At 34.9% G+C, this 22546-nt stretch overlaps 1 long non-coding RNA gene across 1 annotated transcript in view; it reads right to left on the reverse strand.

Annotated features, from left to right (window-relative positions):
* LOC105372047 (uncharacterized) overlaps nucleotides 1-16459 on the reverse strand; it is a 61121-nt gene extending 44662 nt beyond the window's left edge. Inside the window, exon 1 of the long non-coding RNA XR_935332.2 lies at nucleotides 15855-16459. This is a non-coding gene — a long non-coding RNA (uncharacterized LOC105372047). The remainder of the gene's footprint in view (nucleotides 1-15854) is intronic.
* Nucleotides 16460-22546: the final 6087 nt, after the last annotated feature.

A 22546-nucleotide genomic window follows, 5' to 3' on the forward strand; every position in this document is an offset into this window, starting at 1 on the left:
GTAATCAGTTTTTCTTCTGAATCCTGCATTCTATATTTGATTTTCCCCTATATATTTATTAGTATCTATTTTTCCTAATAGAAGACTTCCTCAAATGTCTGATGGTCATTAAAAGTCACTTTTGTTTAAGAGTAAGACAAGTTGATTTGAAGGGCTATATGCATGTAATGGGGGGAGTATCAATTTTGCTGAACTTAATTGTAGTATAACTAGGTAGAAAATCCAGGAATTTAGCTGGAGGAGGCATTTAGTTCTGGTGGCCAGTCTCCCTAGTGAGAGGGGTAGGGGAAAGCTTTAATTATCTTCCCAGGGAACAATAGAATAACTATGCCTATATGTTACTCTGAGAAAAAAGTTGAAGGGTTGAACAAAGAGTGATGGGCCTTATTTTTAAAATACGTAAGCTATTAGTTAATTTGTCTGGTTTTAGTAGTAAAGTACCCCTCCATTGCCCTCATCTGCGAATTATGTCTCCTGGTGCTCAGATTTTGTATTTTAATCGCTTTATGTAACTGAATGCTGGTCCAGATGCTCACCACTTGCAGAGTTCAATTAACAAGAGTGAAGTCTGGGAGAAAGAAAGTGAATTTATTAACCAAAACTGGTAAAGGGGAAGCAGCCGATTCCTCTCCAAAGTAAGTGGTTGAAGTCCACTTTGTCTTCAGGCTCATGCCATTGCAATAATGGCCAGGTTAATTAGCCTCCTTGAAGTAATCTCTGGAACTTTGCAGCTGGGTCTCTAGACTTGGTCTGTCTGTCTAAAGAGTAGCCCCTGGAACTTCTAAGAGTACCCAGACTAGCATACGGTTAGATAAATGTGAAGGGAGTATACACAGTGAGAAAGGGAGAGATGTAGAGTCTATTTTAAGGCTAAGGGAAAACGCTTCTGCAGTTTGCCTCAAGGTTATATCTTGACACCCAAGAGAAACGAAAAAAAAAGTTTAAAATGCATTTTGAAGTTAAGCTGCTCTGTTACATTTAGAATAAACCTCCCAACTTCTGTTAGAATAAAAGAGAACAAGTGACCTAGATTTAAGTTGAGAGAAGATATCTTGTTATCTAATGTAAAGCTTTTAACCAGCTACTAGTTATTAACTCAGTTCCCCTCTTTTAGGGGTACATGTTACCTCAAATTCATGAAACTGCTCATAACTGGCAGAAATGAGGTTGGTTCTCACTGCCTTACTCCTCCACAGGCTTCTGCTTCCTTTAGTATTCTAGGCTTCTTTCCACTTGCCTACTTTTTGTTTTCTAAGATATTGACTGCTCTTCCAGATTTTCCCAGCTTCCCCTAATTTCTGTCTCACACAGACACTTCTCCTAATAAAATCCCTACAATGGAATCCCATCTTAGTGTCTGCCTCTTCAAGGAGGAAAAGTAACAATTTTATTGAGATATAATTTATACACCATACAATTCATCCATTTAAAGAGTGCGATTCAGTGGTACTTAGTATATTGACAGTTATGCAATCATCACCATTATCAGTTTTAGATCATTATAATCCCAAAAAGAAACCTGATACAATTTAGCTATCTTCTACCTTCATTCACTCAAGTAGAGGAAACCACTAATCTCTTTCTGTTTCTACAGATTTGCCAATATATAACTGGCTTCTGTTGCTTAAAATAGTTTTCCAAGTTCATCTATGTAGTAGTATCAGTACTCATTTCTTTTTTTTACTGAATAATATTCCATTGTATGAAATATATCTATTCATCAGTTTATCCATTCATCAGTTGATGGACATCTGGGGTGTTTCTAGCTTTTGGTTATTATGGTGTACAAGTTATTTTGTAGATATACGTTTCATTTCTTTATATAGATATATCTATGTATGTATTTATATACACACTACACACACACACACACACACATACACACACACACACACGTAAACATATGCCCCTAAGAGTAGAATTGCAGGGTCCAATAGTCCTTGTATGTTTAACTTTTCTCAGTAACTGTCAGACTGTTTTCCAAAGTGATTATACATCACATTACATTCCCACTAGCAGCATGTGGGGATATTTATTCTTCCATATCCGCTCCAACATTATTTATTATCTGTCTTTTTACTTATAGCCATACAAGTGGGTATAAAGTGCTATCTGATTGTGGTTTTCATTTGCCTTTTGCTAGTACCTAATGATGAGCGTTTTTATGTACTTATTAGATATTTGCATATTTTCTTGAGAGAAATGTCACTTAGATCTTTTGGTGATTTTTAAAAAGATCATTTTATTGGCTTTCTGAATTATTGAATTGTGAGAATCCTTCATATATTTGAGATACAACTCCCTTTTCAAATGTATGATTTGCAAAGATATTCTCTTATTGTGTGGGCTTTGGTCACGTTCTTAAGTGTCCATTGAAACACAATGTTTTAAATTTTGAATACATACCATTTATTTATTCTGCTTCTTTTGTTGCTTGTTCTTCTGGTATCATGCTTAAGAAACTATGGCCACATATAAGGTCATAAGGTTTTGCCTTTATAAGATGTTTTCTTCTAATAAATTGTATATTTTCACTCTTACATCTAGTTCTCTGAGTCATTTTGTGTTAACTTTTGTATACGGTAGAAGATATGGGTACAACTTCCTTTTTTTGCTGGCAGGTATATAGTTGTCTCAGCATCTTTGTTGAAAAGACTATTCTTTCTTCATCCAAATATATTGGCAATCTTGTTGAAAATCAATTTCCCATAAATGTGAGGGATAGTTTTGAACTCACAATTCTATTCCTTTGATTTGTGTCTACCTTTATGCCAGTGCCATGTCATATTGATTGCACTGGCTGTATAATAAGTTTGAAATCAGGAAGTGTGATTCCTATGACTTTGTTCTTTACAAAATTGTTTTGATTATTCAGTGTCCCATAAGTTTACATTTAAATTTTAGAATCAGCTTGTCATGTCTACAAAGAAGCCAGCTGGGATTTTCAGAATGATTTGTTTAATATATAGAACAATTCAAAGACTATTGTCATATTTACAGTAGTAAGTCTTTCAGCTCATAGAGAATGGTTTTTTATTTCTTTATATCCTTTTTAATTGCTTTCAACAATATATTGTTGTTTTCAGAGTATAAGTTTTGTACCTGTCTTGTGAATTTTATTCCTAAGTGTTTATTATTTTTGGTGCAATTGTAAGTGGAAAAAGTTTTTCTTATTTCATTTTTAGATTCTTCATTGAAAACGCATAGGAAAATAATTGATTACTATAAATTAAACATATCCTTCACTAATTCTGAACTTGTTTATTTTATTTTTTATTTTTAATTTTTTTTTTGAGATGGAGTCTTGCTCTGTCGCCCAGGCTGGAGTGCAGTGGCACAATCTCGGCTTACTGCAACCTCTGCCTCCTGGGTTCAAGCAATTATCCTGTCTCAGCCTCCCAAGTAGCTGGGATTACAGGCATGTGCCACCACACCCGGCTATTTTTTTGTATTTTTAGTTGAGACGGGGTTTCACCATGTTGGCCAGGGTGGTCTCAAACTCCTGATCATATGATCTACCCACCTTGGCCTCCAAAAGTGTTGGGATTACAGGCATGAGCCACCATACCCAGCCTGAACTTAATAGCTTTGATTTTTTAGTGGATTAAGATTTTCCATACATAAATTCATGTAGTCTGTAAATACAGATATTTTTACTTTTTAATTTCCAGTCCTGATAGCTTGTATTTCATTTGCTTGCCTAATTGTTCTGGCTAGAACCTAAGTATAGAATAGATGTGGTGAAAATATTCTTTTCTTATTCCTAATCTTAGGGGATATTAGAGTAAAACTAGCCTAATAGAATGAGTTGAGAAGCACTATCTTCTATTTTGTGGAAGACCATATGAAGAATTGCTATTAATTTTTGTTAAATGTTGGTAGAATCCACCAGTGAGATCATGAATGCCTGAGGAGTTTTTGTTTGTTTTCTACTAATTCAATCTCCTTACTGGATTTTCCATTTCTTCTTTAGTCAGTTTTAGTAGTTTTTGTCTTTACAGGAGTTTGTTCATTTTGGCTAAGTTGACTAATGTATTGGCACATAATTGTCATAGCATTACTTTATAATCTTTTTTAAACCTTTTCTGTAGGGCTGGTAGTGATGTCCTATCTTTCATTTCTAATTTTAGTAATTTGAATCCTTCTTTTTGTATTTTTTTGCTCAGTCTAGCTAAAGCTTTGTCGATTTTGTTGATCTTTACAAAGAATCTATTTTTGGTTTCATTTATATCTCTAATATTTTTCTATTTTACTAATTTTTGCCATATTTTAAGTTTTTTCTTTCTGTATTATGTTGGAATTCATTTGATCTCTTTTCTCACTGTCTTAAGGTGAAAAGATATTAATTTGAAATGTATATTTTTAATATAGTTATTTATAGACCTAAATTTTCCTCTAAGCATTGCTCTATTGTTATAAGTTTTACTATATTGTGCATTTATTCCCTTTTATCTCATTTTTTTCTAACTACTTGCATATTATTTCCTTTGATCTATTTTTCATTTAGGATTTTTTAACATTTCTACATATTTTTAAGTGTTCCAAAATTATTTCTGTTATTGCTTTCTGATTTCATTACATGTTAGTTAGAGAACAGACTATGTGATGTTTACGTATTTTAAACTTTCTGAGACTGTAGTATAGTATATAGTCTATCTAGGAGAATGTTTCATGTAATCTTGAGAAGATGTCTAGTCTGCTGTTGTTAGGTAGACTGTTCTATAGATACCTGTTGGGTCTAAATTGGTCTATAGTACTGTCCAAATCTTTTTTCCCTCCTTGTTCTTCTGTCTAATCATTCCACAAATATATGAGGTCTTCAGTCTTCTAACTATCATTATTGAATTATACAGTTTTCCTCTTACTTCTCCAAGTTTTGCTTCATGGATTTGGTCCTTACTTGTTGGATGCATATGTTTAAGCTTGTCATATTTTCCTGATGGGCTGACACTTTTATTATTATAAAATGTCCCTCTTTACTTCCAGTAACATTCTTTGTTCTAAAGTCTATTTTGTCTGATATGAGTATAACCACTTCAGTCTTATATTTTCTCTGTGACAACTTTTTTCTATCCTTTTAATTTTAATCTATTTATATATTTGAATCTAAAATATGTCTCCTGTAGAAAAATATATAACTGGGTTTTGTTTTTATATCCAGTCTAAAAATGCATACGTTTTTAATGGACTACTTAATCTATTCATATTTATTATTATTATTAACATAGTGGAGTCAGCACCTGCCATATTACATGGGTATTATTTATGTCTCATTTTTATTTGTTCTTCTATAACTTTTACACTGTTTCTTGTGAATTGTCACTGTTAATCTTATTGGTGTTTTAAGTAATGAGTCACTTTTATCTTAAGGCTCTCAAGATTTGTCTTTGGTTTTACACATTTTCACTATGGTATGTCTTTGTGTACATCTATTTATGTTATCCAGCGTGGAGTGTGATAAGACTCTTGGATGTGTAGATTAATGTTTTTTATTATATATGAGAAGTTTTCAGCCATTGTTTTTTCAAAAATCTTTTTGCTTCTTTATCTCTTTCCCATCTTTCTGTACTCCAGTTATGCATTTCTTTATGCACTTAAACTTGTCCCACATTTCTCTTAGGCACTGTTCATTTTTCTTCATCGTTTTTATTTTCTATTCTTTTGATTGCATGATCTCTATAAATGTTCAATTTACTAATATGTCCTCTTTCAATTCAGCTCCTCTAGTGTATTTTTTATTTCACTTGTTATACATTTAAACTTCAGAAATTCAATTTGATTCTTTTCAATAACTCCTATTGTTTAATGCTTTCCTGATGTGACATTGTCATCATAGTTTTGTCTTTTAGAATATTTTATTTTAGTATTTTGAGCATATTTAGTATTTAGTCACTCTCATAAGCAGCTTCCTTTACCTTTTATTTTTTTTCCTTATGTATAGGTCATATTTTTCTGTTTCTTTGCATTTCTTACAAATTTTTGTTGAAAACTAGAAATTTTAGATAATATAGTGTAGTAATTCCAGGTACTTCCTCCACCCTAAGCTTGTTATTGTTATGTGCATGTTTATATGTTTCGTGAAAGGCTAGATTATTTTAGTTAAGTCTATTTCTCCTCAGTGTGAAGACTCTGACGAATAGGACTCTACCTCTTTCCTTGACAACACATACAATTAAGCTCCATTAATTGCTGGCCCATTTAATTTTTTTTTCAAGTGTGCCCTCAGGCACAATTTACTCCACAGCCTGCTCTAATTAAATGTGGGCTCCTTTGTATAGATAGCATTTGAGATTTGAGTTTCCGGTTTGCTTTGACACCAGGAGGGCGCTCTTGAGCTGTCTCTTTCCTGATTCACTTAGGTAAACTAGCTGCCCGTGGTTTGGTATATCACAATAAAACTACCAGTCTCCTCTCATTTCTTTCCACCAAATTCTCTATTGTTATTGACAGTTGCCTTAATCTTGAACTTACTCCACACTGTATAATGAAGTGAATTTCTTTGAGAAGGGCTTCAGAGATCTTTGTTTTATTATATCTCTTTCCATTTGCACACACGAAGAAATCTGAATCAAGAGTCTGCAGCGGGGGCAGAGATAATAGCATGCTTCTCTCCGAGTGACACCCTTGTCATAGGAGTGACTGCTGAGACGGGTTCTGTAGCCTCTAGCCTTCTCAACTTGCCTCTCCCAGGATAGAACCTTCACACTACAAATGTGTCAGGATGATGGCAGTGAGTCTCTAGTATTAGTGCACTACACCAGAAATACAGCCCTCACTCCATCAGAGCGCAGAGCAATCCAATCCTTAATAAAGAAGTGAGGTAGGGAAGATTAGGCGTACGAATCCCAGCTAAAGAAGTTCAGTGAAGATAGAGTCTTGGAGCCAAAACTGGTTGTCAGAGAAGTTCCACGTCCCCTGATAAGGAGTCTGTCTTAGCATCCTGGGCATTCTAAGTCATTGACTAGGATTATGCCACGGGAAGCATGTTAGGTAAAATTAAAAGATTGTTTTCAGAGGGCAGTAACTGAGGTCCTTAGCATTATAGTTATTTGGAGTTCTATGAGGTACATTCTTTTAAATTCACGCACACATACAATCACACACAAAAACAATAACTTATAATCTTTTAAAGTTATGAAGATAATACATTCACACTTAAGTGTGATTATACCCCAAGGAGGCAATAAGAAATATAGAGGGAGATTTTGATGTTTTCTCTACTTTTGACATTTTATTTTGTGCATATATTTGAATTATATTTATATATTTTAAAAAAATCTCTGCATACACAACATCACTTATTAGACATAATTTGTTCACAAGAAAACATACACAAAAATTAACAATTACCATTGTTCTATTGTTTGTGACTTACTTAAAAATGTATTTAATCACTAATTTTCTATAAAGAACATATGTAATTTTTCTCATAATAAAATTAAATGTTTTAAATGATATATATTAATAAAGGTAATAATTGCCACTATAAATAAATCTTTTTTTCATTATGACTTTCTGGTGATCTATTCTCCTTGACAGATTTTCTTTCCTGTTTGGATGTATATCCCAAGCCATCCATTTTCAAGTATAACTATCTGTATAGCAGGACATGTAAAGTAACCAATAGTTAGCCAAATTAAGTGCTGCCTCTACACATGCCAGTGAGAATGTGAACCCTTGGAAGGATGAAACATGATTCCAATCATTTCCATAATTACTGCAGTACCTCATGCAATGCTTTGGTCATCTGTAGACACCAAATGTCTATATCATAAATACACTACTTAGAGAAATACATGGCCAACATTAAATTCAGAGCAGGAGCATAAATGAAATCATTGTACATTATGTGTTTCTTCCTTGTAGTGTACTTTTCTGCACATAACTTTGCAACCACATTCAAAAGAATGTCCAGAGAAGACATGCTTTGCTTGCAATTCTAAAACGCATAATAGCTCTGGGGCTGCTTAGAATTGAATTGCAGTGGAATGAACTGAAGAGAAACTTACAAAGTTTCCACTTCATATCCTGCTTAACTTCAGTTATTTTTCCCAAATGGTGGAGCAACTGTTTTGAAGAACTTCCAAATATTTTCTCCTGAGAGTGAGAAGTTCTTACACTTATAGTTAAAAGAAAATTGACTCAAATACTATCTTGAAAGGAAACAGATAAAAATAAACACCCACAGAGAAATGCACCAAGATGCTGAAGTAGCCTAAAGAGAGTTTATTAGTTTACATATTTAATCACATCATTCAACAGAAAAGAATGCTATTTAACTTGTATCACCAGTGGGCTTGGTATCTGAACCATGACAGCTCATATTCTTAATACCAAAATATTTATTAATTTACTATCATGCATTAAAGCTATTCTTTTATGAGTTAAAAATGATCTCATAAATCTTACAGTCTAAATAAATACAAACAAAACAGTTTCAAATTCTAATAAGTCCAGTGGAGAAAATAAAATATGATAATGTAGTAGAGATCTGGAGAGCTAATGTAGATTGGACAGTCAAAGAAAGTCACTTTGAGGAAGTGACGTTTAAGCTGAGATTGGAATAAAAGGGAGAAGCCTAGCTGGTAGTCTTTTTATGGTCTGAAAATGCAAAAGGGACCCAACAGCATGAGAGGTGTGTGTTTCTTGGGGGAGGGGTAAAGGAAAGGAGTATAAATAGATGGAGAGTATTAGAGTGGAAAAATGAAGAGCAACTGTGGAAAAAATAGGACTGCGTAATGGGATGGAATAGGGCAATAACCAAAAAGAATCAGTAAAAATCTGTGGACGAAGAGAGTCTAAGATACATATGCTTTTTTTCAGAGTTGCTTTTAAAATAATCATTTCAGTTGAAAACAAAGATCATAAAAAACAATAAAGTTTGAAAAACACAAAATATAAGTAACACTTCATAAGTAAACTGTGTATCTTTTTTTCATTTACCTATTTATGTTGAACATCTATGTGCTAAAAGTATTTAATTTTTCTCAAAACTTCAATAAAATGTTAAATTATAATAAAATTATAAAATTATAATTATCTACTCTAAAATGCTATATTTTAGAATTAGATGTCTACTTCCTTCAACAGACACAAATGTAGTTTTTTATAGTAAACTCAACGTAACTTATAACTGTTTATTTTTATTAGGTATACCCTAAACTTTCTGTAACAAAAAAATTTTGAAAAGATTATACTGATAATATTTATATTATCATTTGATGTCAAACTTATTTTCCAAAGTTAAAATTATGTCAACTTCTAGACCGTAAATGTATAGTACCACCAACTTCCCCCAAAAAAGACATAAGATGAAATAAAATAACAGCAGGGACTGAAAATCTCCTTTCTTTCCTTCCACTACTTTTACCCCTATTTATGTAAGTAGATGGTGTATTTTCCATACAACCAATCCACCATAGCACATTGCAAATCATCTTGTGAATTTTTAATAATATAATTTAAGTTTTCTAAGAGAAAATAATATTTTATTATTTCATTTGCCAATACATGATAATTACAATTGCTCATATTTAAGTATCGTCATAACAAGTAAAGCAGAATATGTAAATATGCCAATAAAACAATTTACTTTTTAATAAAATTCAGGTGTTTCACAAATATCCAAAGTTCATCAATTTTCTGAAAGTAAAGAGAAATTTTCTTCAATGGTACATTAATACCTGCTGGCACCACCATAGCATGAGTTTTTTCTTTCTTATGGAGAGTAGATGGGGTTAGTAAATTGGGATTATTCTTAGGCTAGTTATGCAAAGGTCTATCTGCCTTTTGTAAGGAATCCTTTTCCTATTATCAGTGAATTAGTTTATTCTCATGCTGCTATAAATAACTGCCTGAAACTAGGTAATTTACAGAGGAAAGAGGTTTAATTGACTCATAGTTCCACAGCACTGGGGAGGACTCAGGAAACTTACAATCACGGCAGAAGGGAAACAAATACGTCCTTCTCTTCTTTTCTATTGCATCATCAGGCTGCAAATTTTCCAAACTTTTGTGCTTTGCTTCCCTTTTAAACATAAGTTCCAATTCCAAACCATATATTTGTGAAAACAGAAAACTGGATGCTTTTAAGAGCACCCAAGTCACCTCTTGAGTGCTATGCTGCTTAGAAATTTCTTCCAACAGATACTCTAAATCATCTCTCAAGTTCAAACTTCCACAGATCTCTAGGGCAGGGACAAATTGCCACCAGTCTCTTTGGAAAAACATAGCAAGAGTCACTTTTATTCCAATTCCCAAAAAGTTCCTCATCTCCATCTGAGACCACCTCAGCCCGGACTTCACTGTCTATATCACTATGTTGGTCAAAGCCATTCAACAAGTCTCTAGGAAGTTCCAAACTTTCCCACATCTTCCTGTCTTTTGAGCCCTCCAAGTCTCTAGGAAGTTGAAAATATTCCCACATTTTCCTGTCTTCTTCTAAGCCCTTCAGACTGTTCCAATCCCCTCCCTGTTACCCAGTTCTAAAATCTCTTCCACATCCTTTGGTATCCTTATAGCAGCACACCACTCTCTGCAGTACCAATTTACTGTATTAGTTCATTCTCACTCTGCTAATAATGATTTACCTGAGACTGAGCAATTTTTAAAAGAAAGAGGTTTAATGGACCCACATTTGTGTATGGCTGGCGAGGCCTCAGGAAACTTACAATCGTGGTGGAAGGGGAAGCAAATATGTCCTTCTTCACATGATGGCAGGAAGGAGAAGTGCCAAGCAAAAGGGGAAAACCCTGATAAAGCCATCAGATCTCATGAGAATTCACTCACTATCACGAGAACCTCATGGAGGTAACCATCCCCATGATTCAATTACCTCCCACCGGGTCCTTCCCACAACACATGGGGATTATGGGAACTACAATTCAAGATGAGATTTGGATGGTGACACAGCCAAACCATATCAATCAGCATGAAGACTATATTATACAATGGCTAAGGTAACTTTGTTTAGGTTCTCTGCTTGATACCATATGTTGTACCTAAAGAGTCTATGCCACAATTAACTCTTTGAGAATTACTATTGATACATTATTCATGAATATCATTAATTTGTTAGATTAATTTTCCAAATTAAAGAGAATCTTGTTAATCAATGTTAGGACTGAGGAAGAAAAGAATTGTGACTGGATGTCAGAGGGACCATAGGATAGTAAAGTGCCTCTTAGAATGTATTATGGGAGCTTTGTTTTATTGTGTGCATGAAACCATCTGCCACCTTTATCTTTTTCCAAGTGTCATTATTTCACAGCATCTCAGGGCTCAGTTTGCCAAAATATTTGAAAACTCTCAATTTTAAGCAGAAGAACAAGTAATGAACGGTTTGAGAGAAACTAACACTTGGAAATGAAATAAGATAAAATAAATTTCATATTGTGATGTTTTATTGTTAGCAGAAGCTAAAAAATGGTTTTGCCTGGGAGTGATGAAGGGACCCTTTGGTTTTTGTTTGTTTGTCTTTTTGGTTTTTGGTTTTCTGTTTTTTCTTGGCAGCTAAGAGAGCAAATTATGCAATTAACTGAAAAGATAACAAACATCAAAGCATCTTTCATTTTTTTCTGCTAGAGATTGGTATAGTCAAGGTTTTCTCAAGCCACCAGTGAAATATTTGCTGCTCCAGTCAGATGTGAATCATTGCATTTTCTTACAGAAAAGCAGGGAGAATGAGGAAAAGAGTAAAACAAAAGTGAAAACAAAACAAAACAGAGTTCTGACAGATGCAACCTGCCAGTTCAACTCTGTAGAATCTAGTTCCAATCCTGGCTCATCATTTCTCTCGCCAAGGATCTCCAGCTCGGTAAACTGTAATTTATCTAATGCTTTGGGAATTTATAAATTGCTGTGATGCATATTATCTCAGATATAGCTTCTCACAAAATTAATTTTATGATGTGCTAGTATTAATTAGATTCCTCTATTTCTTCAAAATGGCAAATGTTACTACCTACTAAGGTGATATCCAAAGTATATCGACGTCCTAATCAAAATATAATATCTGCATTATGAACCCTAAACAGAGAATTCAACTTTAAACCATTTGCAGTCAATCTTTTTATACGTAATAGAAGGAAGGTAGGAAGGATACTGACAGATTAACTGTCCCTCAATTTATCATCATAGTAGAGTATTAAAACAGAGATCCAATAATAGTAAAAACAGTGATTCAAACTGGATCCAATCTGAGGGTTCAATCCTGGTACTGTGGTTGTTATATATTAGTGGATGCACACATAACACACAATAATGCAGCAGTTAGAAGCAACAGAGTAGCTGTTCACTTGGCAACATGGATAATATTGACAGTGATACTTCAAAATATATATGAAATCTTACCACCTACTAGATTCAAGCAGGCATCATTCCTGTGATGAGCTTTTAACTATGTTAACAAAACACCAGGGGTTTGGTCTAAGGTCCTGCTGCTTTCCACACAGAAAGCCAGTCACTGAGACAACAAGTAATGCCAAGGAAGAAGGCTTTAATTCGGTGCTGCAGCCAAGGAGATGGGAGCTCAGTTTCAAATACATCTCCCTGACTGACTAACACCAGGGATTTATATAGCAGGTTAGAAATGTAAGAATGTATTAAAAAACAGGACTTGCCGGGGGAAAGGAAGCAATCACGGTGAATGAGGGGTCCAGCATCTGATGTGGTGATCTGGTTTCAGTTCTTTGACACTTTTTTGTTCGTTTGTTTGTTGAGGCAGAGTCGTGCTCTGTCACCCAGGCTGGAGTGCAGGGGCCTGATCTCGGCTCACTTCAACCTCCGGTCACTCTGAATTCAAGCTGCAACCTCAATCACTCTGGGTTCAAGCGATTCTCATGCCTCAGCCTCCTGAGTAGCTGGGATTACAGGCATGCATCACCACACCCGGCTAATTTTTGTATTTTTAGTAGTGATGGGGTTTCACCATTTTGGCCAGGCTTGTCTTGAAATCCTAGCCTCAAGTGATCTCCCTACCTTGGCCTCCCAAAATGCTGGGATTACAGGCATGAGCCACCGTGCCCAACTGATACTTTTTGTGAGCGGCCTGAAGGTAATTTCCTGAGGAAGCAACTCAGTTAAAACAAATGTAAGGTTCAAACTTTAACAGCAGAAGGGTTCATTTCTATGTTCATCCCCAAACAATTGTCTATGGGACTCTTGAGTCAGTTTCAACTAGCCTTCTTCATTCTACCTTGCTCCTAAGAGTCTACTGTCACCACACCAGCCACCAGTGATCTTTATAAAAATGATAATGCTGAACTTCACCTGAGCCCTGCAGCACAGAAACACAGAGAGGTCTTAACTAATCACCCACATTTTTGTGTTCCAGGAAATAGCATACTGCAGAGCACCACCCTTCTTCACAGGACTCCACATAAGACTCATAGATGCCCTCCTTGTTACTCTTTGACAAAGACAGACACAGATCCCCTAAATTTTTATTCTTTGCTTCATTAATGATTATCTGAACTGTTTGTAAATCATGACCAATCTGGATAAAATATGTGTCTTGGCCAATTGGGGGACAATGGATAAGTTATATGTGGTGGATACACATATAACACGCAATGATGCAGCAGCTGGAAGCAACAGAGTAGCTGTTCACATGGCAAGAAAGGAAAATTCCCTTCTCCCAGACCTTTGGCTTTTTCTCCTCCTAATTCAATATTCTCCTTTCCCTTATTATGCTAATCTTTTCCAATAAAGTCTCTCCTATCTAAGTTGAGGTTTGTTTTAACTTGACAAATCATGCCTCAGATCACATTACTCCTCTCTTCAAATTCAACCATAGCTTTCATTCATTCAGAGTCAAACCAAAAGACATTATTATAGTCAACATATATACATTTTAAGCAGCGTGTATAGAAGGCTTCAGATTATCCAACTAGAAAAAGCGTAGATGTTTTCTTATTTATTTATTTTTTTTTTGTTTTCCATCTGAAATCCTATAACATGTTTGTGAATCCCTTATTTTGCTTATATTTCCTGGATCTTTTGAAATACTTCTATTTGTTCCTTATAACAGATTTCAACATTAAAGATTTAGTTAAATTTTTTTTTCTGATTTATTTATTTTTCTTCAAGGAAGACTCTGTGTACATTTTGATCAACTTTTCAAATGTTCACACATTCCTTGAACTTAAAGGCTTAAAGATTTCTAACTCATGATGTTTGTTTCTGAAGGTGTGATTTTAAACTTTACAAGTTGGTGTTTTTCATTATGTTGAAATAAATATTAATGGTAAGAACTAATTTTGTCAAGAAAAAAGAATGTCTTTGTTATCAAAGGCATTAATTAAAAAGTTTATTTTTTCAGAAAATTTTCCTGAAATTCACCCCAAAGAAGGGAGAAGGAAGAGTGCTTAAGGTCACGTGGGCCTTCAGATTTTTGTTAATAGTTTTCAGAGATAACATACTCCTATCAGTCTACGTGGAGAAACAGTTTGTTACTTTATCTTTTTTTCAATCAGGGAAATAGAGTAAAATTTTCAAAAAAAAATAGGACCTAAACTTTTTTTCAATCTAACAGTCACAAATTAGAAAAAAAAAAATCTTTTTGATGTCTGTGATCACAAGTAATCTAGATTTTACACATATGCTAATATTTAATGTAATGCACTATGCTCTTCCATTCACATAACTTTTATTCACATAATTAAGTTTATAGAAACTCTTGATGAAAAACAAAGCTGTAGTGGTGGAAATTGAGTATGGTGAATTCTTTGCTTTTTTTTTTTTCTTAGCCTGGCATAGGGGACAAAAAAATGCTACCAACATAAGTAGGTTATGTGTGGCAGCCCTCAGAAATAAATATATGCACGAGATGAGGTCTCTAGGTCACGGGATACTAGAATGGCTCAACTGGTAAAAGCATAGTACCACTTTCTTAAATATATTTTTTACCCGATTATTTCACTCACTTGCTTTTACAAAGTATTTTTTTCAGCTAAGGGAGTAGTAATTTTACAAACTGATCTGAATGGACATTCCATTTCAGACATGAGAAAGAAAAATGAATAATAAAAATCCAATAAATAGGACATATAGATAAAACAATATATGAAACTGGATCAGAAATTATTCTATCTATAATAGCAGATTAAATGTAGTGGAAGGCATTTAAAGGCATTAAAGGGGCATAGTCTAATGCCTAAACCTAAATAATTGAAAGGGCAATTTTTGAAAAAAGAGGATTACGCCATAAACCCCAGCCGCAACTCACACAGAAGCTGTTCAAATTACTCAGTAACATCTGAAATTCTTCTCCTAATTTCTCCTAATGTAAGCATACAAATGGGTAACCTTATGTTTTCCATTTAGGAATGAAAATAGTGGATATTTCATTTTTGGAGAAACAGATAACATTAGGGGAAAGAAACAACTTTACTAACGTTAGTAGGAAAGCAGTAAGGTTACCAGGAACACAGGTTACCTTGGAGGAATTCTCTTAAACCCAAGAGTCTCCTATGCTAGCATAAGATACACCCCCCCAAAAAAGTAAACTTGAGCTCACTGCATTTGACAGACTATGACAGGGGCCCAAGTCAAACAACTAAGATACCAATGCAGAAAGCTGATATTTCCCTCCCAAAATAGTAGGCAAAGGTGGTCAGAGGGAAAGAAATTGATTCCTAAATATGAAAAGAGTCAGGGAGTATTTATTTACCTGTACTTGTGATCTTTGAACCAGTCTGCATATTCCTAAGGATGTTCCAACAATTTTCAACAGACATACACCCACAGTTTTGAAGGAAGACTCAAATTCCCCAGGCACTCATTCATAATATAGTAATTCATAAAATGTACTGCCTTAGAAGAAGGCCTCCCACCAACAAAACATTATTACTTACCTTATGAAGCATTGTCCTGTGACATAAAATTATCCAGAGTATCAAAGTGATCATTGTAATTATGAATGCCAATCAAAAATTCATAAACTTAAATCTTCAAAATCTTCCCAAGCTCTTCCCAAGCTTTTGAAGATTTATACAAAAAATATAGTAAGATTAAAATGTATTATCAAAAATTATTTTATTGAGTTAAAGATGTTGGCTTTAAGTGAAAGAATAACATACAAAATTAAAAATCATTTAAGAAGGCTTGTTAAACAATTTTAAATGCACTTTCCTAGAATTGAGAAGCTGAATCTAATAGCTGGATAACATAATTCTGGCAAATTAAGTGGTTTCCAGTTTCTTGCTTTCCAAAAATTGAAGGAAGGAGACTTCTGAATTCACCAAGATGGAGTAGCCCCCGTCCTTCCAGGACCTCACAATTATAACTAAAAAATCTCTGGAAATAATACAACAAACAGGCCTAGGAAGACTCGGGAAGGTGGAAAGAAGGGGGCTGTCCAGAGTGCTTGGGATCTGTGTGTCTACACTGTGGAGAGGTCTGTGGGTTTCCGTATTGCCTCCCATATACTCTGGACAGAGCTCCACAGAAGCTTCCAGCCTGGAGCAACAAACAGGCACAGTCAATAAAACCTCTCAGGAAAGCTTGTTTCTCTAGCCAGGAAAAAGGAAAAGGAAAAGGAAAAGGATGGCCTAACAATAGAAAAACGTTTTAGTAATACTCAACTTACTCCATAAATGGAAAAAAAAATCACCACCGCAACTGCTATTACAGCAGGGCAGTGCAGAGAGTTGATTTTCCACCCCCACTGCATCCCACCCTACTGAGGGCAGAGGGGCTGAGCAGGGAACTGACCTTCCATCCTTCATCAAACAGAAGAAGCTGCTGCTCAGATTCTCATGCCAGGATAGTATCAGTGGAGTCCAGCAGCAGAGGCAACAAAATTTGATGAAATGGTACAAGGTGGAGCTAGTCACCAATATTCTTTACCCTTTTCCCTATGTCAGCCAGGGGCTGTGAGGATTTCAGCCTCCAGCTCCATTTGGCGTTAATAAGACTGAACAAAGAAGTATAAGTCAGGGCTAACATGTGCTGTGCTCCATGCTCTGCCACTTATGATGTCCATAAGGGCCAATAGGGAGCTCCACTTCCACCTCCACCTGGCATCAAACAGGCAGAGGTGGTGGTGGGAGGTCAAACTGGTTGGCACTTTGATTCTTCTTTCCCCTTCCCTGCTGTCAGCAGAACCCAGCAGGGAGCTGAGCTTCCTCCCGACCCTGCTGCAACAAATGACAATAAAACAACAAGATCCCCTCGTGCTAACCTTTGCTTGTTGTCAAGTGGGACCTTATCTTACACCCACCCTTGCAAGGAATTAGTTGCTGCAAATCTATTTCCAGCCTCTTCTGGGAAAGAGGGAGTGGCTGAATTTCCAGGACACTCTTTTGCAACAAGGCACTGTGAGTCAGTGATGTGAACATATATGCTCACCTAATTCTCATGCTATACTTCAAATTAGGAACTTTTTGCAAAAGAAAAGAATGGTAGAACACAGTCTCATAGTATGATATTCAAAATGTCCAGGATTAATGGAAAAAAATCACTGTTCATACCATAAAACAAGAACATTAGAACATAAATGAGAAAAGATGGTTGGCAAGCCAACACTCATACAGATAAGATATTGGAATTATCCCAGAAGGATATTAAAGGAGCCAAAGCAAAAATACTTCAAAAAGCAATTAAAAATTACCTGGAAACAAAGAAATTGAAGTAAAATCTAATCTGGCTGTCAGGTGATAAATCATTAAAGGCAATTCTTGATGATACATTATTATGATTTTTGGCACATAACTTGGCTTGAATTCAAATAATTAAGTTATACTTCTATAATAAAATTCCATCCAATCCTATCTATTTGTTAATGTGAACAAATTTTCTCAGTGCTTACACATTCAAAAGGAAAAAACAAGAATAGAATTGATGCTGAATCATTTCTCATTCATGCATTGAAAAATGTTCATCTTCAAATAATTCAACTAGTTAGGAGAAAAATACACCTCTTACATCTTATTAGGAGGTCTAATTCTGAAATTTTACGTTTAGTTATTACTCATAAAATTTTGTAACATATCCTATTGTTTTGATCGGTTGTATACTAATAAACACTATAATGAAAACTCAATTCAGAACAAATTTTAGGACATAGACCATGAAATGATTTCAATGTATAAACATATTGTTATAAAGAAGTTTGGTAGAGTAAAAAATAAACAAATTCAAGCATAAAATATATTACATTATAATAAAATTGTGTGGAAGAATTGAAATGGAAATTGGAGTTTAAAGAAACACTTTTCTAAAAGTTCTAATTGATAAAGATGAGTTATTTTTCTATTCTTAAATAATGTTGAATATCAAGAATGCTCAAACTCTTCAAAAAACTGAAGTACAAGGAATACTTCCAAATTCATTTTTTAAGGCCGGTATTACACTGATGTCAAAGCCAAACAAGGACATTACAAGAAAAGAAAATTACAGGCTAATATTCTTGATGAACATAGATGACAAAATGCTGTGATATCTAGATTCCAATGGATACATCTAAAGTGTACTGAAACAACTTTGTGTTAAAATTTCAAGATTTTATAATATTCCATGAACAATATTATTTAAACAACTTGTGGAAAATTTTAAAAATCAGAGAATGGATTTTAGGAGTATGTGGCGGTTGGTTTAATGATCACTGACTTTTACTTCATAAGGAAAGGTGAAGCTTAGAAATCCTTGCCGATAGGAAACATGGGCCCAATGGGAAAATAAAAGCAGAACATATGTAAATCTGTTTTATGGAAGAAATGAAGGGACAAGAGACACAGGAAGGGGAAAGAGGAAAAAAGGAGGAGGAAGAAAGATGGAAGAGAGGGAAATAAGGAGGAAATAAAATAATTGCAAACCATTTAAATAGTGCTAAAAAAGTGCCAAGTACTATTTCAGGATGTCACGTAGTCATCAACATAAGCCTGTGAGACATGGGCATTATAATCTTCATTTTAAAAATTAGAAACTGGGGCATCGAATGTATTTGCATGGCTTTAAGTTGTGGCACTTGTTTCAAACCCAGGCTATTTGACTCTAAAATCTGTGCTCTCAATCACTATTGGATGCACAGGGAATTCAGAAATGAAGAAAAAAAATAATAGAGATTATACACTAGCAGGTGAAATACTGAATGAACAAGTGAATGCAATGTATGGTTTTAGATAATGAAAAGTACAAGAAAGAAATATAAATTAGGATAATGTGTTAGAGAATGAATGACTGATGGAAGGAGTTATTTTTGATGGTGGAACAAAAAAAAACCTTATGATTTTGAACCTGAAGGAAGGAAGATAGCAAGCCTTGTGACAGTCTGCAGAATAACAAGAAAAACAGCGATTCTGAATATTTATAACCATTTCAAAACTTTAATGCACAGTACAGGAAAAGAAATCATATGATAGTTGTTCCATTTTTGGCTTCTACCTTGAGATCTTACCTTTCATTCCAAGCCTCTTACCAAGCTATTGCTTTTGAGAGAATACAACAATATCTCTAACATTTGGTGAACTCAATAGTCTCCATCTTATTATATTGATATTTACATGTCAGCAAAATATAAATATTGTAATATCTCTCATTTAACAGAAAAAGAAAGTAGAAATAAGAGAAACAGCTTCTCACTGAGGAATATTTAGAAAATTCCACCCTAAATTTAGAATTTCTGGTTTTATATTATTTTAAACATCTTAGTAATTAAACTTTGTGAAAATGAACAGCACAATATATCTAAAAGATAAAATAATTGAATTATGAGTCAGATTTAACATGTGATTATATGCTGTTTACTTTGGAAATTTTGTTTTTCTTGAGTTTCTATAATATTAAGCTATGTTTTAAAGACTAATTTATAAGTTTTGCTTGTAAAATAACCTTTGAACTCCAGGTCTTTTGGAAGCATATTTATTAATTTTCTTTGTAACAAAAACAGGAAAAACAAGTCAAAACACATTTATAGATATAACATCAATTTCTGTGAGCATACTGTTGATTAATAGAATAATTACATACAATTCATTCTTGGTTATCACTGAGACATAAATGATAATATAGCCTAATTAAAACTGACTTCACTATGTTTTATTAGAAAGAATTGAAGGGGTGGCATGTAAAATACCAATATTGAAAGCTTCCAAAAAATTAAGCAATTCACACTTATAAATTTATTTTTGCTTATCTGTCTTGTTTTCTTAGACATCTTTCCATCATCAATATGAATATTAACAACTAATACTTATTTACCTCTCAAATACCAATCTATACACTCATTACTTGTTAAATTATGTAATCCTCACATATGATTTGTTCAACATATAGGTTCATCAGAAATGAATAGCTTTTTTTGTCTACCCATGTTTGGAGAGTTGAAATATCCTATATGTTCCAGCAATATGGACAAGAGATAGAAATACTGGATAGAAGAGGGTGGTTCCCAGTAAAGGCCCCACCCTGGACCTGTGGTCCTAAATTGGGACAGGCATTCTTGTTTTCACACCTCAAATGTTGCCTTTTGGCCCACCACGCCCCATCTTGTACCCATATAAACCCGAAACTCCAGGCTCCAAAGGCAGACAAGGAGAGGAGGAGACAAGGAGACAAGCAGATGAACAGTGGAAGAGGGTAGCTCGAGAGAAAGAAAGAAGAGAGGGAACAACTGAATGCCAGAAGGGTTCAGTTGGGGGTGGGCGGAGGGGAGTTCAGCCTTTGGATGGCCTAACTCCAGGGGAAGATCATCTTCCCACTCCATCCGCCTTCTAGTTCCCCATCCGTCTGGCTGAGAGCCACCATCACCACTCAGTTAAAACCCCACATTCATCCTTCAAGCCCGTGTGTGACCAGATTCTTCTTCCAGTACTCTGGGAAAGAGCTTGAGGTACAGAAAGTTGTCACACTGGCACTCTGCCCTTATGAAAAGGTAGAGAGTCCATTGAGCTGGTTAACACTCAAACCATCTGTGGACAGCAAGGCTAAAAGAGCATTGTAGCACTGGGGCCACAGGTACCCACCCCTAGACACTAACGCAGGGCCAGAGCCCAAATCACCTGCCCTGGCTTGTGCACCTGCCCGTCTACAGGTGCCCCCCCCTCCCATCAGGGGTTGAGCAGTGGCAGCAACTGAACAGGTGAGCCACACCCCTGTTTCATGTCCTGCAAGGGGGGTCAGGGAACTCTCTCATTTCGTCAGGTTTGAGGCTCTCAAGGGAATAGGAAACATGCTATTCTCAAAGATCTGGACTCTTTGAGGGCAATATATCAAGCCTTCTCAAAGGAGCAGGGAATAGAAGTACATGATTAGCATAAGAGAGGGAGTATGCTATTTGTGAGGTAACTTGTCAGAGATTCAGAAAAGATGGGCATAGGTTTCCCAGGTGAGAAAACCTGGAAACACTTGCATGCTTTGCAATGGAGGAGGTCAACCCCAAGTTTGGAAAGGCCATCAACTATAGCAGTCTTAGCATTTCCTCCCCACTGCACCATTCCTCAAAGTTTCACATAGCTAGGCATACTTGTCCCTGTGAGTAATTTTGGAATTATTTTGATAAGAGTAGCCAATCGATATTTCTTTTCAGTGAGTTTCACGATTTTTAAACCTTAATTCTTTAGATGTTACTTCTTTTTCTTTAATCTTGTTTTTTTTCTTTCATGCCTTTATTTTTAAACATGTCTTTTAACTGCAATTACTTTTGCACCCATCTAATATATAGCCTAGAGCAAATCTGGCTGTGTTGACTTCATGACGTGACATAATTTTTTAATTTTGTTTTTGGTTTTTGTCCTATAGATTCATGTTAGATGTTGTCTTTCATTTAGAACATGGTGGTGAAGGGTTTTGATTTATTTATTATTTTTTCATGAGTTCTGATGTCATCAAAGTTACAGTTTATTTGGGACTTGGAAAAATGTCTTCAGAGTTACGAAGTCAATACTGACTCAGCTCTTTAGTTTGTAAAGGTGTGTCATCAAAGACCCTAGAAAGTATCTGGTCTTGGATTTGTTTGTTTAAAAAATCTTGTCTAACGAATCTTGATTTTTGCTTTCTTGAGGACACTTTTGGGTTTTGCCCAAATTCTTGTGGATGAATAGATTATCAGAAGGACAATTTCTGTGGAGAAAACATAGCATATTAAGCAATTGGGATTTATTTTCAAGTGCATCGGTCTTAAAATTTATCCAAAGTTTGCAGGAGAAAGGAAGAGATCGTGGTCTTTGAAAGGAAACTCAATATTGTAAAGATACAAATCCTTCTAAAATAACCCTACGAAACCATGAATCCAATTTGAGAAAATTATTAGTAAAAAATACAATTAAAATCAAGGAAAAGAAGAATGGAATGCCAAACTTGCCGTCATAGATTTGACTGCATCAAGATAGAAAAATTAAAGAAATGTGGCACGGAGACAAGACCAGATGAATGATGAGGTAATAATAGGAAGCCCTAATATACTATGTGTGTGTATGTGTGTAAAAGTGTATTATATGATACAGGTGGGAAAGTATAGACTACACAATAAAATCGTGTTGGAAAAATGTAATTCCTAAGGAGTATTTTTGTATTATATACCTACAGCACAGCAGAAACATAAATCCCA

Source organism: Homo sapiens, chromosome 18 (assembly GCF_000001405.40).
Source record: "Homo sapiens chromosome 18, GRCh38.p14 Primary Assembly".
Lineage (NCBI taxonomy): Eukaryota > Metazoa > Chordata > Mammalia > Primates > Hominidae > Homo > Homo sapiens.